Source organism: Homo sapiens, chromosome 8 (genome assembly GCF_000001405.40).
Source record: "Homo sapiens chromosome 8, GRCh38.p14 Primary Assembly".
In the NCBI taxonomy this organism is placed as follows: Eukaryota; Metazoa; Chordata; class Mammalia; order Primates; family Hominidae; genus Homo; species Homo sapiens.
Genome location: NC_000008.11, coordinates 460,246 through 478,694, shown reverse-complemented (window position 1 = coordinate 478,694; position 18,449 = coordinate 460,246). Strand labels below are relative to the sequence as shown.

At 41.2% G+C, this 18,449-nt stretch overlaps 1 protein-coding gene across 12 annotated transcripts in view; it reads right to left on the bottom strand.

Annotated features, from left to right (window-relative positions):
- Nucleotides 1–727: 727 nt before the first annotated feature.
- Nucleotides 728–18,449, bottom strand: part of FBXO25 (F-box protein 25) — a 71,010-nt gene continuing 53,288 nt past the window's right edge. For 6 of the 12 annotated variants that reach the window (NM_183421.2, XM_017013314.2, XM_017013313.3 and 3 more), the window contains 3 exons: nucleotides 15,545–15,688; nucleotides 10,949–10,975; nucleotides 728–9,980 (listed from right to left, as the gene is read on the bottom strand). In NM_183421.2, the coding sequence (NP_904357.1) occupies nucleotides 9,891–9,980; nucleotides 10,949–10,975; nucleotides 15,545–15,688 (261 nt within the window). In that variant the 3' untranslated portion in view covers nucleotides 728–9,890. The remainder of the gene's footprint in view (nucleotides 9,981–10,948; nucleotides 10,976–15,544; nucleotides 15,689–18,449) is intronic. The other 6 variants (XM_047421684.1, NM_183420.2, XM_024447125.2 and 3 more) reach the window with 1 other exon arrangement.

Genomic DNA, 18,449 nt, shown 5'->3' with positions numbered 1-18,449 from the left:
CATGGTTTTTCAGAGTTGCAAAGATATTTTCACTTACTTACTGATAAAGGGGTAGAGTTTTAGCTTTTGATAAAGGGGTAGAGTTTTAGCTTTCATAAGAAGTGAGGCTATTGATCCCTTTGACGTTACTTCTGTTTAGAGTTTTAGGAAAATATTTTTAAAAATTTAGATAATTTATTTTCAAGAAAGCTGAACAAATCTGGATGGTGTGGGGGTGATGGGAAATACCATTTGAGTTTTGAGAAGTGATTTTTTTTTTTATTCTTTGGAAACTAGTGTTTACAGAAATCTCTTCTCCCTAGAGACTTTAAAACGTGCTATTAAGACAGAAGGATATGGTAAGAATTTTTATTCTGTAAGAATCTTCAAAGCTCAGCATGAAGATACACATCTTTCCCATGGGAATCCAGGCTAGAGAAATGCAAGAAGGCGGTTCCCTCTAGAGTCTCCTTTCCTGGGAGATGCAGCTCCAGATGGGTGGGTTTCTGGGCAGGAGGGGAGAGGAGGGTGGTGTTTATTCAACTGTTTATTTGGGATCATGTTATGCGTCTTCAAAAAGCGATATAAGAGAAAATATTGGAAAGATATTTCAAAATAAGAATTACCTTGAAGTAATTCCCATAATTAATGGGTAACATTTTTGTGTATGTATTTTGGCTTTTTATTGTAAAAATAATGTATTTTCATTGTAGAAAGTTTTTTTTAAAAAGTAACGAGTACAAAAAAGTAGTGTTATATAACTTTTAATGGAAAATGTCAAATAGATACAAAAGTATAAATCAGGTTGGCAAGTGAAATACAGGCCAAAATTGGGCCCACCAGCTGTTTTTGCACAGCCCAAATGTTAAGAATGATTTTTACATTTTTAAATAGTGAAAAGATGTAAAAGGGTAATATCTAATGACATAAGAAAAGTATGTGAAATTCAGATTTTATTGTCCAAAAAGTTTGGAACACAGCCACATGCACTGGTGCGTGGCCCCCTGGTGGCGGCTTCATGCCACTACTGCCAAGTGGCAAGAGAGCCCCATGGCTGGAAAAGCCAACAATCTTTACCATCTGCTCCAAGCCCTGCTTCACTCCCCTGTGTGTACCTATCCTTGCAGCCTCAAATTCCCGGCCAATCTTGTTTCATTTATAGTTACTCCCAGCCCCACGGATTCAAAGGAAATCCCAGACATCCTATAATTTCATCTTCATGTTGAAATTTAAAAAGTTTGAAAATTCACCAAGATGTAATATATATGCACCAAACATCAGAGCCCAAAATATATGAAACAAACATTGACAGAATCAAAGGAAGAAATGGATAGTTCTACAGTAAGAGTAGGAGACTGCAGTAGCCCACTTTCAGTAACGGATAGGACAACCAGACAGAAGATCAGTCGCAAGACAGAACTTGAACAGCATCATACCAGCTGGACCTAACAGACACAACAGCAGTACACACGTTTTTCTCAAGTGCAAATGGACCTTTCTCTAGGATAGACAGTATGTTAGATGACTAAACAAGTCAACAAATTTCAAAAGACTGAGGAAATAAAATATCTTTTCTGGCCACAGTGGGATGAAACTAGAAATCAGTAACAGACAAAAAACTGAAAAGTACACAATTATGTGAAAATTAAACAACGCTCTCAACCAGCAGATTAATGGGGAACTCACAAGGGAAATTAGAAAATATCTTGTGGTAAATGAAAAATGTAATATACAAAAAAACAGGTACAGTCAAAGCAGTGGTAGGAGGGAAATTTGTAACTGTAAATACACCTATTAAACAAATTAAGATCTCAAGTCAACCCTAAATTTACATCTGAAAGAACTAGAAAAAGAAGAGCAATCAACCCAAAGCCAGCAGAATGGAGATGATTATAATAATAATAAAGATTAGAGCAGAGACAAAATAGAGAACAGAAAAGCAATAGAGAAAAATAAATGAAACCAAGAGTTTGTTGATAGCTAAGAGTGACTAAGAAAAACAACTAAAAACCAGGAGGAGACATTACAACTGATTTTACAGAAATAAAAAGGATTAAGAGTACTATGAGCAATTACATATCAAAGAATTGGATAACCTAGATGAACTGGACAAATTCTTAGAAACACACAGCCTATCAAGATTGAATCATGAAGAAATGGAAAATCTGAACAGACCTATGCTAGTCAAGAGCATGAAGTAGTAAAGAAAAGCCTCCCAAGAAAGAAAAGCCCAGGGTCATATGGGAATTCTGGCAAACATCTGAAGAATTAAATCAATTCTCCTCAAACTCTTCCAAAAAACTGAAGAGGAAAGGACACTTCCAAATGCATTCTATGAGGCCATCATTATTCTGATACCAAAACCAGACAAAGACACTATAAGAAAAAAACACCACACATCAGTATTCCTGATCAAGATTTTTTTAAATCAATATTCAACAAAATACTGGCCAACAGGATTCAGTGGGACATTGAAAGGATTACACATCATGGCCAAGTAAGATTTACAGCTGGTATGCAAAGATGTTTCAACATGCTCAAGTCAATAAATGTAATGTCTATTACATTAATAGAATGAAGGAAAAAAATGTGATCTCCATTGATGGAGAAAAAGCATTTGAGACAATGTCATGCCCTTTCATGATAAAAACTCAACAATTGGGAATAGAAGGAAACAACCTAAAATAGAGGCCATATGAACATCCCACTGTAAACATCATATTCAATAAGACTGAAAGGACTTTAAGATCAAGAACAACACAGAAATACCCTGTCTCACCACTTCTGTTTAACACAGTACTGGAGTCTTAGAGCAGTTAGGCAAGAAAAAGAAATAAAAGGCATCCAGACTGGAAAGGAAGAAGCAAAATTATCTGTTTGCAGATGACATGATCTTATATGTAGAAAATCCTAGTGTCCATACATATACAAAAAAAAATTTCAGTAACACTGCAGTTTACAAAATCAACACAACAAATCCATGATATTTCTATACAATAACAAGCAATCTCAAAAGGAAATTTAAGAAAATTCCATTATAATAGTAACAAAAAAACTGAAATATTTAGGAATAAACTTAAGGAAGCAAAAGACTTGTACTTGAAAACCATAAAACACTGCTTAAAGAAAGTAAGGTCAACACAAATAAATAGAAAGCAATCCCGTGTTTATGGATTGGATACCTTAAGATGTCCATAGTCCAAAGCAATCTATAGATTTCATGCAATCTCTATCAGAATATCCCAGTGGCTTTTTTTTTTCCATCCTGAAACTCATATGGAATCTCAAGAGACCTCACACAGCCAAAATCATCTTGAAAGGGAACCAAGTAGGAGGTCTCTCACTTCCTTATTTCATAACTTACGACAAAGCTACAATAATCAAAATGGTGTTGTATTGAAACAAAGACAGTCATGTAGACCAATGGAACAGAATAGCAAATCCCCAAATAAACCCTTGCACATATGGGTCAAATGATTTTTGATGGTGCCAAGACCATTCAAGGGAGAAAGGACAGTCTTTTCAACAAATGGTGCTAGACAAGTGGACATCCACATGAAGCTAGATCTACCTCACACCATATATAAAAATTAAAATAGATCAAAGGCCTAAACTAAGAGCTAAAACTAAAACATTTAGGAGAAACATAAGGGAAACTTTTAACAACATTGGATTTGGCAGTGATTTCTTAGATATGACACCAGAGGCACACACAGGTAACTAAAAGAAAGAAACAACTTCTGTACATCAAAGAACAAAACAGAGTGAAAGGCAATCCACGGAATGGGACAAAGTATTTTAAAATGATATATCTGAAAAGGGTGAGGCAGTGATTTCTTAGATATGACACCAGAGGCACACACAGGTAACTAAAAGAAAGAAACAACTTCTGTACATCAAAGAACAAAACAGAGTGAAAGGCAATCCACGGAATGGGACAAAGTATTTTAAAATGATATATCTGAAAAGGGTGAATACCCAGAACATATAAAAACACACACCTGATTGAAAAATGGACAAAGAGCCCAAATAGACATTTCTCCAAAGACGACATATAAACGGCCAACAAACAGATACTCAGCATCACCAGTCATTACGGAAATGCAAATCAAAATCTCAGCAGGATACCACTTCACACTCATTAGGATGGCAATTATTAAAAACAGGTGTTGGCAAGGATGTGGCAAAACTGGAACCTTCAGTGGGAATGTAAAATGGTGCAGCCACCGTGTAAAACACTTATGGCAGTGCCCTAAGAAATTAAACATAGGATTGCCATATGATTGAAAGCAGAGACTCAGATATTTGCACACCCATGTTTACGGCAGCAATATTCACAATAGCTAAAAGGTGGAAGCAACTCAAGTGTCCTCAACAGATGAGTACACAAACAAAATGTGGTCCATCCATAGAATCAGCCTTAAAAAGAAATCTTGACATATCCTACAACTTGAATAAACCTTGAGGACATTACGCTAAGTGAAATAAGCCAGTCACAAAAGGACAAATCCCTTCTGGTTCCACTCATACGAGGTCCCTACAGAAGTCAAATTAAAAGAGACAAAGGAGAACAGAGGCTGCCAGGGGCTGGTGGATGGGGAATAGGGAGTTGGTGCTTAATGGGTACAGAGCTTCAGTTTTACAAGATGACAAAAGTTCATCTTGTAAAGTTGAACTTGTGGATACGTGGTAGAGAAGGTTGCACAGTATGAATGTATTTAATGCCACTAAATTGCACACTTAAAATAGGTAAGATGGTAAATTTCACGTGTATTTTAACATGTCAAATTCTTTTAAATGACATTAGAATTGACTACATAGGTTAGATAATAAAAACCAACTTGCCTTCATCTGTGCAAGTTTCTCAAATGATTATCAAATAAAAATGAAATTTCCATGCAAAAACGAGACAGTTGAGGTGTCTCTTCTATTTGACACAGATGTCCTCATTTTTTTTGCTCTCCCTTACTTAGGAAGAACAAGAGCATTTCAAAGAAACCGCATCCTCAGTGAACGCTGGTTATGGTCCAAGAGCCAGCCCAGGACCCCTGTGGCACCAGCAGTGCCTTCTCCTGCTTGCCCCTCCAGCTGGTGCTCTGGGCATCTCTGTTCTTTGTCACTCTGTGGATTTGAGCCAGTGAGGATTGGAAGGAAGAGGACCAAGTACAAAAAGGACAACTAGGAGGGTTAACAGCCTCTCCTAGGCATTCACGTGAAAAGCAATGGCAGATCCACGTGGCCTGTATTGGGGCAGGTGCCCTGGGGAGCAACTCCTTCATCTCACAGATGCTGAGGGCGAGAATGGCAGCAGCCATACACTGCCTGAGTTTAGAGAGGACTGCTGGGGGTGCATGTGCAGGTGCCACGTTACCACCTAGAACACACTGTCTCATGCTGTGAGCCAGGGCTTTTTAGGCACACAATGATGCAGTTCCTGCTGAAATTCTGAAGGCAGAGGCTACACCTGAGCAGCTCCTACCGGCTCAGTGGCATTTAGCCCATGGGACGCGGGGGGACACTGCTTTCCAAAGTTGAGGGTCTGCCTCCTCTATGCAGAAACAACAGGAAGGGATAAGGAGTGGGGCTTGAGTGAAGACAGAAGCAGCAATTCTGTTGAGATACATATGAGTGCAGGGTGGATGCTGGTGTCAGCCATAGAGGGCCCCAATGGCTGGTGCTGGTTAGTCATGTATGCAGGTCCTTCTTTTTCCTCCTACCTGTTGCTAATCCCTTGGCTTTGCCATTGGGTAGCATTTGATAGGGACTAAAGGGAGGTGAGTGGTGTCCATCACGTGCACACATCATAATGAAGAGAGGGAGATTAAAAAGTCGAGTTTCATAAGGCAGGCTTGCTTCTGACTTTTCTCAGAGGGCAGCACCCCTTCCTTTTGATAATTCTGAAGATAAGCAGAACAGACTAGGTTTCACAGTCCACTTATCTACTAAGTTAGGCCTTCGCAATGAAAAGAAAAACCATTAAAAGGCATCTCTGGAGAAAATGGTCTTATCCTCTTAAAGGATAATTGAAGCTTCTCAGTGACTTCAAATCTTATATGGAGTTCTCTCAAACATTTAAAGAAGAATTAACAAGAAACCACCACAAACACTTCCAAAACACAGAAGAGGGAACACTTTCTAAGCTTATCCTATGAGATGGACACCAAAACCCAAGAGATCACAAGGTGGTGGGTGGCAGGTGGGGTGGGGGTGGGGGTCTTGGAACCAATCCCCCGTGGATACAGAGGGCTGGCTGTTCCAGCACACCAAATCTAACAGCTATGTATAAAAGGTATCATAAACCATGACTTAGTGGGCTTTGACCCAAGAATGCAAGGTTGGTTCAAGATATAGAAATCAGTCAATGTAATAACAGCACATGATCTTATGAAGGCCAAAAACTACATTATCTTAAGAGATGCAGAAAAAGCATTTGACAAAATCCACACCCTTTCACGATAAAAACAAACTAGGAATAGAAGGGAACCTCCCCAACCTAATAGAGGGTATGTATGGAAAACCCAGGGTTAACATCATAGTTAATGGTGAGACTGAAAGCTTTCCCCTAAGATGAGGAACAAGACAAGGATGTTCACTCTCGCACTGCTATTCAACATTGTACTAGAGATTCTAGCCAGCGAAACGGGGTAAGAAAGAATAAAGGACATCTAGACTGAGAGGAAGAAGTGAAACTGTCTATTCATAGATGACATGATTTTGTACACAGCATCAGGAATCTACAAAGGTGTTAAAAGAGCTGATAAATCTTATATGACAGTTTGGTTCTAAAAGCAGCACTTAAGGCAAAAAACTGTTCACAGATGGTTAAATTTTTTCCATAAAGTAGACACAGTTTGCTGTGTACAGCCCTGTACAGTACGCACACACAGTGCATACAGAGAGCCTGTACGTCATGCAGTAAACCACGACAGCTACAAATCGGTCTGCTCCTGAGAGGCTACTGCATGGCTTTCCAATTTGTGTGTATTCATAAATTAGGTGAGGAATGTGACTTTTTGACTCAAAATAGGCAAAAGGAAGTTGTAACTGGGTGTCAAGAGACACCAGCCCTGAGTGAGCAGCGCAGACTGAGAACAGGTCCGAGAATGACTGGAGATTCTATCTTGAGAGTGTCTGGCATTGCCTTTCACAGGAGCGATGGGCAAGTGAAACTTACTACCTGGCTTTAGGCTCCTGGGGTCCTGAATTATCTACTTCATTGTAATGAAGGCATCAGAATGTAACTTAATCTCACAGGAGTGGCATCCCTACTTTTGGAAGGCCCCCTGATAGAAACTGTATTCAAAAATACCATTCCAAAGTGGAGATCTATGATTTCTCTTCTCATCTCTGTTTGGTGTTGTCCGATCTTCTGTAAATAACTGATCAGTGCCTCAAAATTGTCTTTATTCTGTCCTTATACCCTCCATTAACCTTTCAATCTCTCCCCAGCAATGTAAGCCATCCCTGCTTACCTGCCCAGCTCCCACAGCTTGTCCCTCGAACGCACCTGCAGGAGGCTGTGACCCATGCAGTGGCAATGCGGCTAGCTGTGTCCATGGCCTGTGGAAATATGCCAGCCCAGCAGAACAGCTGGAATCCTACACTATTAATATGGTTATGTTTTCCAAGCAAGTACTGCTCAATTTATACAAGTTAAATGCACATCTGTGATTTGATAGCACAGCTGAGAACTGTTATAACATCTAACAATTAAATGACAGTAACAGTATATGACAAATTAGGGGAAAGAACCACAACTTCAAAAGGATAGTTTCCTTTTAAGAAGAAACTAACATGAAAAAAGACTGACATCCACCCCAAAAAACAGGCAAATACCACATTAAGTAATTTACCAAAAACAAGAAAAGCAAATGGATAATAAATATATGGAAATATTCAAGCTCACAATTTATCATACATCAAATTCTTCACTTATTAAAACAGCACCAACAGAAAAAGAAATACCTGTGCTTCAGGGATAATGGAAACTCAATGTACTTACTCCCTTTCCTAGATTAGAACAATTTCTTTTCTCAGCTGGACGTGGTGGCTCATGCCTGTAATCCCAGCACTTTGGGAAGCTGAGGCAGGTGGATTGCTTGAGCTCAAACTCCTGAGACCAGCCTGGGCAACATGGTGAAACCCCATCTCTACTAAAAATACAAAAAAACAGCTGAGCATGGTGGTATATGCCTGTGGTCCTGACTGCTTGGGAGGCTGAGGTGGGAGGATCACTGGAGGGTGAGGTGGGAGGATCACTTGAGCCTGGGGGACAGAGGTTGCAGTAAGCCGACATCATACCCCTGCACTCCAGCCTGGGTGACAGAGCAAGACCCTGTCTCAAAAACAAACTCCAAAAAAATTTTTTTTCATGAACAATCTAGAAATATATTTAAAAGCCTTAAAATATGTTTGACTCATGATGTTGGCTGTACTACCAGTGGTTGTAAGGAGACGGCCACATTGTTGTGTGACGATGCTTATCATAGTTATTGATGCTAACGGCGAGACACTCAGGAACCCCAATATGTTGTGATGAAAAAGCCTGTTCCATCTGGGTGATTCTGTGGAGCTAATAAAAGCCAAGTTTCCAAATAACATTTAGGATATGGTTCTACGTTTCTAAAAAAAGGCAGGGTCGGGACGGGGGGCGTTGTGAAGTAACAGTGGTATACGGGACATTTATGGTCTTATGAAAAACTAACATATATTCGCAGAGGCCCCAGGTATTTGCATCGCCTCAGGAGAAACTATAATTTGACAAATAAATGCATTCTTGGCCATTTGTGTCAGTTCACAGAAGTGGGGCTGAAAAATCCAGAATCTTTTTTTAGTCCTATTTATAACGCCATAAAAGTATACTTTTATTATTATGCTTAAAGGAAAAAGTAGAAATGATTTGCTTGGGCTCCTTGACCCTATTCAAAAATGGAAATATACAACAATACGTTTCTATCCTATGCCTGCTGAGGGGATTTTTCATACTCTTTTCAGCATGCACAATAATCTTTGGGTGGTGGGACTGATTTTCTAATTTTCTAAAATGGACATGCGTTATTTTAAAAACGAAGCAATCTTTTAAGGATTTAAGTATCAAAATCACTAACATTTCTCAGTAGGATGCAAAACTGATGAAGTTTAAATCAATAGATAAACATGATTTATTACTTTGTCTATTAAAGTAGTTTCAACACAATTGAAGTTTAGACTGCACTGGGCTGTTCCCATCACAGTCCAGGATTATGCACAGACCAGCCCCCAACCCCAGCAGGGGTGCCCTGCCAGAACCTGTGCTGGATGCCTAGGAGCACAGAGACCACTGCCCGTTGTTGGGCTGCGTGTGCACACTTCATACCCCGATCCATAATCCCTAAGACAAGAATGGCTGTCATTGCCCTGGGTTCACTTTCTATTCAAAGAGGACTCATTTGGGCACAGCCAATGTAGTAGTTAAAATGCATTTTGAGAAAAAATAAATATTCTGTACAATGTATTTACAAGGATCAAATGTTTTGTAACCCACCCCCAATTAGTTTCCCAATTGGGAAACTATAATTTGATAATTAAGAAGCATATTATTGGCCGTTAGTGTCACGTCAACAAAGAATGTGGAGCTGACCACCTAAAGTATTTTTGAACTATATATATAGAGAGAGAGAGTACGCAAAATTTCACATTTTAATATGCTTAGAAGGAGTTTTTAAAGAAGTAGAAATGATTTCCTTGGCCTCTGACTTTCAGTGATGAAAATGCAACCATGCAGTCCCCCCTTTGCAGAAGGGCAGTTCTTCCCAGGCTTTCTGGAAGCAGGGGCTTCCGAGGAGTCTCCACCCACCTCACAGAACACTCACTATGAGCCCTGCACAGACAGCAGGATTCACAATCTCCAATAGGGATGGCAGGGGCAGCCCTTAAAACTTGAAGAGGTCGATGAAGTGCTGCGGAGACACAGGCGTGAAGCAGCTGTCAGGGTCGGCCGCCGTGCAGGGGTGTCCTGAGTCCTGTGGGGAGGTGGGAGATGGTTAGGAGGGGGCCCCACCACCAGCCACACTCTAGTGATGGTGCTTGAGGGGTCGTCAGCTGCTTGTTGATGTGGACCCTGGGCCCCACCTCAGAGGTACATGGGAGATAACTTGGATGAGAATGACCAACACAAGGGCAGCCGCAGCCGATTCTACATAGAGGTTTCCCATGGAACTCCTGCTCAGGTAGGGCAGGAGACGGTGGCCCCAGGTCTGCCCTCCAGTGCCGAATCTGGTACTGAGTCAGAGGAGCCAGCTGCTGACACCACCCTGCACTGCCCCGGAATCTACAAGGCCACAGAAGAAACCACTGGGGACTTTCTGTCCTCTGGTCCCAGCCATTCCTTTGTCCTGTCCTCCTGTTCCTGGCTCACTTTGTTACACAGGGTTCCCTCCACCCGCCATTCATCCCTGAATCAGCTTGGGCTCCCTGCATAGGACAGGAGAGGGGGACACACGGCCTCAGCCCCCAAGGCTCCTGCTTGCTCCAAGGGAGCTGGCCATGCTCACATACCTAAGGATCCAGAATTATATTTAATATGAGAAGTGACGACAGAAAAATTAATTTTGTGGATGAAGACTGGCAGACTCTTAGGAGGAACGCAGGTAAACGGGACCAGAGGCTCTGGGGTCAGTGCTGGATCTCTCCATGGCATGCCCTGGCAGTGCTGCCAAACCAGGTGCTGTGTGGTGAAGTGTTTATGCGCACATCTAGCAGCCTCCCTCAGCACTCAGGTGTTGTTCTGCAAAATATTTCATCAACACTCTCGTCCTTGCTGAGGTGTTTGATCAAAGTGGCCACTCAGCCCTGCTCAGGGTCCTGAGAAAGCTCAAGTCAGCGAGAGCTGGAATCGAGCCGGGCAGTGGCCAAGATGACGTGCATGAGATGCAGCACGATGCAACGTTTTCATCCCGAACACAGGATGTGTGGCAAGACAGGGAAGTACCTTGAATAGTAAAGCAAGATGGTAGTCCTTCGAGATCATGAAGAAAGAATCAGGAAGGAATGCAGTGAAGGGAGGGAAAAAAAGGAAAAGTTAAGATTAGAAAGAGCCAGAGTGTATCTAAGCATTCAGGTTTGATTCATATTATTTACGAAAATAACTAAAAACATCAGGTAACTAAATTTGGACAGTACAAGGTTATTAAAAGCAAACAAGTTCTCATCAGATAACCCAAAAATTCCCAAACTACTTGAAGACAGTCTTAAGACAACATATCTCTACCTTTAAGTCTTTCAAATTTGGCAACTAATGAGGCTGCAGTGCTAAATAACCTTTAAAATTATTCACTGAAGAAGAGATGCTATTTCCATGTGCAGTTTATATTAAAACTTTATAACAGATTTTTTTGGGGAAAGTTCTTTGTTCTTCATTTAACATCCGAAGGCTCTGCTCTGTGCTCAGTAATGCACATTAAGTCAATTCCACACATGCCCTTAAGCCAGCCTCCACCTCTGACACTTGTTCCTCCAGGCCAGTGAATGCCACTTTCCAACACAGACCCAAGCCTCAGCAGCTGCCCTCCTGTGCTGTTCTCCCCCGCTGGTTCAGGATGCTACTAGCAAAGCGGTTCCCCTGCAAGACCAGGACCACCAGACCATGGACACCTCATCTTGGATTCTGGCTCCAACTTTGCTCCTGATGTCCACACAGGCCTGTGGGGTGAACGTCAGATGGCCAGCCCTCTATTCTGGCAACTGATACACCAAGAAAAAACAGGACATAAAAAGGCCAAATGCTCATCATGGCTTCCCTGACCCAGCCAACAAGTCTACAGTTTTTAACTGAGGTTTTGTACAGCCGGGAGGTAACGCCACCCCTCTCAGTGGACCCTCGCAGGGCCATCGAAGTCAGTCTTTGGCTCCAGAGCTTAACTCAGCCCAGTTACTTACAGACTGTGTGGAAGGCTGACTAAGGCAGGTAGAAAAGTTAAAAAAGAACTCCAATATAGTAGAGCCACAACAGATGGGAAACCAGCTTGGGAGCAGATGAAGTGGCTCCACAGCACTGCTGACTGGAGAGCTCCAAGCTTATGTACTGTGGGAAGTGATAAATACCAGATGCAGACCTGAGACAGATGCACCATGGTGTCGGCTCATGACCAAGTCCCAGGGCCAGAATTTAGAGTCAACAACACCCAGTCTCATTTTCTTAACAGCTTTGATATTACTTTAGTTTCTCAGTCAACACAAACTACTGGGATGCTAAACAAACAAAGAACAAGCAGTGACCCTAACCCTAAGTGCCATTTTCTGAGCACCAGCTATGTGCCAGTTTCCAGGTGCAGGACTGCTGAACATCCACAGCTCCTCTGTGTGGTGGGTCATGGCGTCAAACCAAGACCCTAGGAGGGGCAGCAAGCTCAGGAGACCCCGGAGGCAGGTCCAGGTCTGCCTGACTCCAATCTGGGTTTGGCCCACCAGGCCACTCGCCTCTGGTTAGCCACACTGGGCAAACCCACGGCGGAGGAGATGGAAGACAGGGCAAGAAGTACCTGACATCTTGAGGGGTTAAATTAGGAGAGATGGCTCTTTTTGAATACTTCCAATGCATGGATTCAGAACTAAAAACGTGGACTGCCTTCTAGAATGATATTCAGTGGGAGAAGCTGTGATGGGACCACTCACTGTAGCTACAGTGAAGTGGACATCACAGCCTCCAAGGGCAAGACATGAACCTCCCAGAACTAAGAGATGGGCAGCTGTCCTTCCTAGGAGAGACTTGTTCTCAATTTCCATGATATGATCAAGTATGATAACAAAGTTCACTAAATACAAGAATGGCAAAGCAAATTCTTTTGGAAGGCTACATCATCTCTCAATTTAAAAAAATCAGAAATTACATATTTCAGGAAACTAAGGCAGCATATTCTTATATACATGGAGCACCTGTAATCCAAAAATCTGAGATGCTCCAAAATCCCAAACTTTTGAGCAGTGACATGATGCCACAGTGGAAAACTACACATGTTAAGTAACACAAACTTTGTTTTATGTATAAAATTACTAAACCATTGTATGAAATTATCTTCAAGCTCTGTGTAAATGAAACAGATGAAAAAAATCTGAAATCTGAAACACTTCAAGTCCCAGGCATTTCAGATAAGGGAGACTTGATCTGTACTGCCTAACAATGTGGAAGCGAAGGACTGTGTATTTCTTTGTTAGTTGCTCAGCAGACAGGGAGAGCTCCAATATTGATAAATATTGTTCTAAGAAAAATACTACCACATACAAAACTGAAAGCCTTCTATCCCTTCTATGAATGGTATTTTCCCTATAAAAGTATCATTGCTTGTAATAGTTCTATAGTACAAAACAATCTGCTCAGGAGAAAAAAAGACAAGTAACTCTTAGGAGAAGCACTAACTCAAATTAGAAACTACAGTATTGTGTCCACTCTTACTCTGTGACTGAAGACACAGTCACATGTTTTCAGTGTTAATATTTCAGAGAAGAACAGGTGTCAGTCCTAGAAGGAATTACACAGAAGGGGGGCCCTGTTCCCTCCAGGGTCAGGTGTCAAAGCTGGCTGGGAACCTGGACTTCACTCAATCGGCCCCTTTCCTTCTGTCCACAAGCATCTGCCTGTGGCTTCTACTGCAGACAACTCACCCCCATACTGTGCCTTCTGTGCCCTATAACTGGGGAGAAAAGAATAGAATGAGGGTTCTCTCCTGTATATCCATAATCTTACTGATGAACTGATTTGCTGACTTCACCAAATCGAGAATAAACTGGAATCAAGATGTTCCCTGCTCTTGAGGGATAATAGTCTACAAGACAGTTGTACTACTGCAAAAACACATAACACAACTTGCATCTTTTTAATTTCAGGAAAGAGAGAAGTCATACCAAAATATAAAACAATAAATCAGAAATAAAATCTCATATTCATGTATGATGCTGTTTACCTTTGATATACCAAATAAAACTATTAAAATAATACAAGAAAAACACATCTTTACATTCTCTGCTCAACCACGGATTAATTTTTAAAGCCACACTTAGAATAAATGTAATTTGAAATGAAAAAATGAAAAGCAGTTGTCTCTTTCCGACAACCTAGAGTTTGCCGTATGACCTATCTGATAACAAATATAGATAATGTAAAGCAAAAAAAGTAATCACAAAAGGTTATGGTGTCTATCAGGCAAAAGCCTCATCTCCCTAGACCTAGAGAAGGCAAGAGGCAGAGACAGCCCACTCTTGCAAGAGGCAGGGCCTCATCTAGACCAGGGACAGTCAGAGGACTCCCTCCGCAGAGCAGCCAGCAGCTCAGCAGGGTCACTCCAGGACCAGCTTATGCCTAGTTTCAACATTTTTTTTCCCCCACGGTGAAATCTCACAACATAAACATGTTCAAACGCAAGGCAAACCATGGAAACACACTCCAGGGTGAAATAATATTAACATGTTAAGAAAAAAGTGGATAATTGCCGGGTGCCATGGCTCACGCCTGTAATCCCAGCACTTTGGAAAGCTGGGGCACATAGATATTGCTTGAGCTTGGGAGTTTTGAGACCAGCCATGGGTAACACGGTGAAACCCTGTCTCTACCAAAAACAAACAAACAAAATCAGCTGGTCCCAGCTACTCAGGAGGCTGAGGTGGGAGAATCACTTGAGCCCAGAAGTCGGGGCTGAAGTGAGCCATAATTGCGCCACTGCACCCATAACTGCCTGGGTGACAGAGCAAGATGCTGTTTCAAAAAAACAAACAAAAAAAAGAAGTGAATTAGCTGGGTGTGGTAGCACCTGCCTGTAGTCCCAGCTACTTGAGAGGCAGGAGGTAGAGGCTGCAGTGAGCCGTGATGACGCCACTGCACTCCAGCCTGGGTGACAGAGCGAGACCCTATTTCAAAAAAGAAAAAAGACAACAAAGAAATAAGCAGTTACCTCTCTGACTGTGAAAAACATTCTATTTAGACACACAGTCTGGATGGTGAGAACAGGAAGTAACTGGATGAAGGGATGAGACTTGCAGATAAGTAACGATAGTCTTGTTAAGTTCTGATCATATGAATGAGAAAAATGCAGATTTTAAAATCTAGGACTTCTCTATGGACACTTTTTTTCTAAGAATGTGGCTTTGAGAAATGAAGCCTAAGCTGGTCCTGGCCCTGCAGAGTCGGTGGGGACATAAAGGGCCGAGGGCTAAGTCTGGGGAAACGAGGAAGGTGCACTTGTCCTCAGATGGGCAGAGGGGTCACACTCCAGCCTTCAACCTCAGGCTGGGGGCCAGCAGGGAATCTGGAGCTGCTGCCAGGAAAGGTCACTGGCTGCAATCCGCCTGCAACGCCCTCCTGCATGCTAACTTCTGCAAAAAGGAGAAGCATTTTGGTTTTCAGCGTTTCTGGTTTAAGCTACACATTGAATGAACATCTGTTCCCCTACCCCAATATTTGGTAAAATATATCTCCTTAACTTACTTATAACAAACAGTATTTTCCGCTTTTTAGTCTTATACTTAAAATATAGGTGATTAGTTTGTTTCACCAAAATTTAATCCTGAAATTCCAAGAGTGCATTTAAATCAGTACCTTCCAAAAGAGAATGCTGCAGTGCCGACAGAAATGCAGTGTGTCTCCGTACTGCTCCTTCGCTGGGTAATGTTTCTGAAGTGCAAAGTACATCAACTTCCATTCAATATGACCTTTTTCTGAAAGGATCAAATGTCTACAAAACTAAACAAACAAAACTCCATTCAGAATCCGCATAAGATGACTTTCAAAACATAATATTAGGTGTAAAACTTTTTCATTTTATTTTAGTTTTTAATTTCTTTTTTTAAACTTCAATAGCTTTAGGGTTACAAGTGGGTTTTGGTTACATGGATGAATTGTACAGTGCTGAAGTCTGGGATTTTTGTGCTCCCATCACTGGAGAAGTATGCAGTGACCCAACATGTAGTGTTTCATCCCTCACCCTCCTCCTACCCTTCCCTCTTCTGAGTCTCCAATGTGTATTATACCTCTCTGAATGCCTTTGTGTACCCGTGGCTTACCTCCCACTTATAACTGAGAACATATGATATTTGGTTTTCCATTCCTAAGTTATTTTACTTAGAATAATGGCCTCCAGGTCTATCTGAAATTATTTTTCAAAGGCAGTGTAGTACATAAAACAATTATTTGAAATTAAACTCACTTGGGTTAAATCAATAAGTGACAAATCAAATAAATTGTGTTATGCCTGTATAATGGAATACCAAGCAGCTGTTAAACAGACTTAAATACTCCAATCCAGAATAATGTCCATAATGTATTATTAAATTAAAATAAGCTACACACATCATATGTGATAACAGACTTATATCTAGAATAGATAAAGAACACTTACAACTCAATAATAAAAAGACAAATAACCCAGTTTAAAAAATGGTCAAAGGACATGCAAAGACATTTATCTAAATAAGTCTCAGAAATGGACGATAACCTCATGAAAAGATGCTCTAGAATCCAGTCATCAGGGAAATGGAATGAGACCCACTTCCTGCCCACTAGAATGGCTTTAATCAAAAAGTGAAATAATGAGAAGCACTGGGGAGGGGTGGAGAATCAAGAGACCTCACACACTGCTGGGGGAATGTGAAATGGTGCAGCCACTTTGCAAACAGTCTGGCAATTCCTCAAAAAGTTAAACAGAATCCACCATATGACTCAGCCATTCTACTCCTAGGTTTATAACCAAGAGAAATGAAAACATGCATCTACACACAAACTCGAACATGTTCATGGCAGCATTATTTGTAAAAGCCACAAACTTTTATCAAACAAACTAAATGTCAATCAACTGATGAATGGATAAACAAAAAGTGGATATACATAGAGGGGGATATTATTCAGTCTTGAATGAAGCTCTGATTTATTCTACAACATGGAGCCGTAAGGACATCATGCAAAGGGTAAGAAGCCAGTCACAAGATGAGAAATGCCATAGATTCCTCTTACATTACACATCCAGAACAGGGAAACACAGAGACAGAAAGTCGATTAGGGGTTGCTTGGGGCTAGGAATGGCAGCTGAAGGGCATGTTTTGTTTTGTTTTGTTTTTCCTGAGGTGATGCTGATGTTTTAGCTGTGTCCCCCGCCAAATCTTGAATTGTAGTTCCCATAATTCCCATGTGCCGTGGGAGGGACCCGGTGGGAGGTAACTGAATCATGGGGGCAAGTCTTTCCCATGCTGTTTTTGTGATAGTGAATAAGTCTCACAAGATCTGATGATTTTATAAAGGGCAGTTCCCCTGCACATGCTCTCTTGCCTGCTGCCATGTAGGATGTGACTTTGCTCCTCCTTTGCCTTCCACCAGGATTGTGAGGCCTCCCCAGCCACATCAAACTGTGAGTCCATTAAATCTCTTTTTCTTTAAAAATTACCCAGTCTCGGGTATGTCTTTTATTGGCAGCGGAGAATGGACTAATACAGATGCCAATATCCTAACATCGACTGTAGTGATGGCTGCATAAAGTGGAGGGTATCTTAATAAAGGTGTTACCAAAAACATCAGTATTACAGAGTGACTTTCAATTACAGTTTTGAAAATGACCAGTGCAGAGCTAGCGAAATTAATGTGTATGTTTGAGTGCATACAAAAGCCTGAAACAAAAAACAAAATGCACGGGCTAAAGGAGTAACAGGGCTGCCTTGGGGTGGGGGCCTTTTAACTTGTTTGTACAACACTGTACTAGTCTTTATGGCTGTTGCTGCAATGAGCATGTTTTACTTTTCAAAGCTAAAAACAATCACTTGTATAACATACTCATACTTCAGTCACGGCTTTTGAGGACTCTGGAAATTATCGTGGAGTCAATGAGGAAATCTTGTTTCTAATAAAATTTGAAAAGAAGACTACTTGCAAAATAAAAAGTCGTTATCAGCCTGTTCATATTTAATATTAATTTCTCTGTCCTCCAGGCAGGTACTGTTAAAACAATAGTTCCTAGAGACTAAAAACAACCGTTTGTTGTCTCATTCCTACTTCTCACTGACTGTGTGTGACACCAGTGTTCACGGGAGAATCCCCTCCCATGGTTTTCCTCCTGAATAACCATCTGTGATTTTTCTGAACTCAAATGCAACATCCCACCAGATGCTCCAGTCAAGAGCATTTAGCTGACTTTTCCTTCCATATTATCTTGAACCAGTCCAGTTTTCTCAGGTATCTAGTTTTTACTTTGAGGATGCTTCCTTATCTAAGCTTTCTCATAAAAGCTATTTCTAATATGCTTTTTTTTTCAGGGCCTTAATGTTAGTTACTGAGGCCTGAAGAACAGATCATTATTTTCTGATGCTGTGTTTTTATGATTCAGTTAAGAAAATGTGTACAAATGAGATGCACCTGCAGGTGCTAATTGCAACTTAACTATTCTAGGATGTGGGTGCAGAACAGACATTTAACTTATTTAAAGCAACTCTTTTAAGAATGGCAATGACCACAGAAATGG